General features: G+C 44.8%; 1 annotated feature.

Annotated features, from left to right (window-relative positions):
- Positions 811–2,010: an enhancer, noted in NCBI's record as "CDK7 strongly-dependent group 2 enhancer chr13:110165798-110166997 (GRCh37/hg19 assembly coordinates)". NCBI's record gives its function as "activates an origin of replication core promoter dependent on BRD2, BRD4, P300/CBP, MED14 and CDK7 cofactors, with strong dependence on CDK7, by STARR-seq in HCT116 cells {active_cell/tissue: HCT116}" and the evidence as "EXISTENCE:reporter gene assay evidence [ECO:0000049][PMID:35650434]".

Consider the following 2,417-nt stretch of genomic DNA (forward strand, 5'->3'; position numbering starts at 1 on the left):
ACAAAAGTTAGCTGGGCATGGTGGTGCATGCTTGTAATCCCAGCTACTTGGGAGGCTGAGGCACGAGATCTCTTGAACCGGGGAGGTAGAGGTTGCAGTGAGCCAAGATCGTGCCACTGCACTCAGCCTGGGCAACAGAGTGAGACTCTGCCTAAGGAAAAAAAAGAAAAGAAAGACATTTTCAGCTATGCACAGAGGACTTCTAAATTTGTATCTTGAACATGGAACTCATCTCTGAGCTCCAGATTTGTGTTTCCCACTCAAAATCTCCATCCGGGTTAGGCTCTTATGATGTTATTTATGCCCTTGTAAAAAGAAGAGACATGACATATCATTCTCTTCACTACATGAGGATATAGAAAGAAGGCAACCTCCTGCAAATGAAGAAGCAGGCCCTCAGCAGACAACAATAAATCTGCTGGCAATTTGATCTGGACTTCTCAGCTTCTAGAACTGTAAGAAATAAATGTTGTATTTTTAAAAAGATCTCCATCTGATTGTCTCAGAGGCAGATAATGTTGAATAGAGTTTTATCTTCTCTTCACTTCACCCCTAATTTGGCCTTTCTCCACTAGTTCCTATTTGTGAATGGCCTCTCCATCTGTCTGATAGCCCATCTTTGATTTGTTTCCCTTACATCTCATATTTAATCATCAAGCTCTGTCCTTTTTCTTCATAAGTCTCACCAACACTCCCCCATATATCTCCAACTCCACCACCGCCCTTGTCTAAGCTACAGTCATCTCTCACCTGGACTGATGCAAAGGTCTCCTGCTCTGTTCTATTCTTTACACCACAGTCAGAAAGAGTTTTAGATAATGACTATCTTGGCTGCATCGTTCCTTTTTTAAAGCCATTCAATGGCCTTCTCCATTCAACTCCACTCCTCCTGTGGGCTCAGGGCCTGGGTGACTGATTCTCCATTCAAGTCCACTCCACCTGTGGGCTCAGGGCCTGGGTGACTGATTCTCCATTCAAGTCCACTCCTCCTGTGGGCTCAGGGCCTGGGTGACTGATTCTCCGTTCAAGTCCACTCCTCCTGTGGGCTCAGGGCCTGGGTGACTGATTCTCCGTTCAAGTCCACTCCTCCTGTGGGCTCAGGGCCTGGGTGACTTCTAACCTCCCTCTGAGCTTCTCCCTGCATCCTCACTGGGCACCAGTTCCTCAGTAGGAGGGGTTCCCTCCCACGCGGGGCCAGTGGACTTACTTGCTGTCGCCCCTGCCCAGATCTGTCTTCTCTTTCTTTCTTTGACCGGCTCACTCTTCATGTGTCTTTAAACTCAGATCAAATGGTGTTTCCTCAGAGCAGCCTTCTCATCATCAGAAAAGCCTGCATCCCCATTACAGTCTCTCAGAGCTCCACAGAACTTCATGTCCTTCCTTCTTATCACAGGTTGCACATTTGCATTTATTTGTTTAATTTTTGGATGAATGTGTATCTTTCTCAGGAGACTGGAAGCTTCTCAAGGACAGGGACCAAGACCTTCTGCCCTGAATCATGATCGTTGCAAACCAAGCCTGCGCTGGCTGGTGCTGAGCAAAGACTCACAGCCCGGAAGACAAAGGCAGGGACCCACAGCACCGAGCCTATGCCCGTGGCCAACTGAATCCCTGTGGACCGGCCCCGCCTGTCTGCCTTCCTCACATCCCTCCACCTCACCGGGAGGCCCTAAGTCGGCTCACAGGGAGCCCTCCTAAGTCGGCTAGATCTTCTCCCTTCACTCTTCAACACACCTCACAGGTGTTCGGGGAAAAAGGTGACGACCAGGGACCAGGAAGCACAGGTATGAAGGCCAACTCGCTGCAACCAAGAAGCCACGCGTAAATTGGTTTAGCCAATAGTTACTGCTACTGTTATTGTTCTTATTATTATCACAGGTCTAAGCATCTTACATCTATCTGTTCCTGAATGAGATCAGCTCATGATTTTCAGTTGTCTATACTTTGTTTGATTTTAATATCAAGGTTATACAAGACTCAAAGAATGGCCGGGGGAGTTTTCTCTCTCTTTTTCTATTTTTGAGACAAGTTTGTATCACTTTAAAACTGTTTTTTCCTTAAAGATTTGGCAGAATTCACCTGTAAAACTGTATGAGTCTGGTGTTCTCTTTGTGGAAGGATTTTAAAATATTCATTCAGTTTGTTTAATACTTATGAGATTATTCAGGCTTTCTAATTTAAATACAGCTAATCTCAGATTTTTTGAAGCTAGTTTTGGTATACTTCTAGGAATTTGTTTAAAATTTTAAAATTCTTAACAACCTTTGAAATCTACCTATGATCTCCTCTGCAGGTCAAATATTGAGTATTTGTGACTCCTCCCTACATTTCTTGGTCAGAGGTTTATTTTTAATCTTTTCAAAGAACCAGTTTTGACATCGTTGGCCCTCCCTGTTGAATCTCTGTTTGTTATTATC

This window comes from Homo sapiens, chromosome 13 (assembly GCF_000001405.40).
Source record: "Homo sapiens chromosome 13, GRCh38.p14 Primary Assembly".
NCBI lineage: Eukaryota > Metazoa > Chordata > Mammalia > Primates > Hominidae > Homo > Homo sapiens.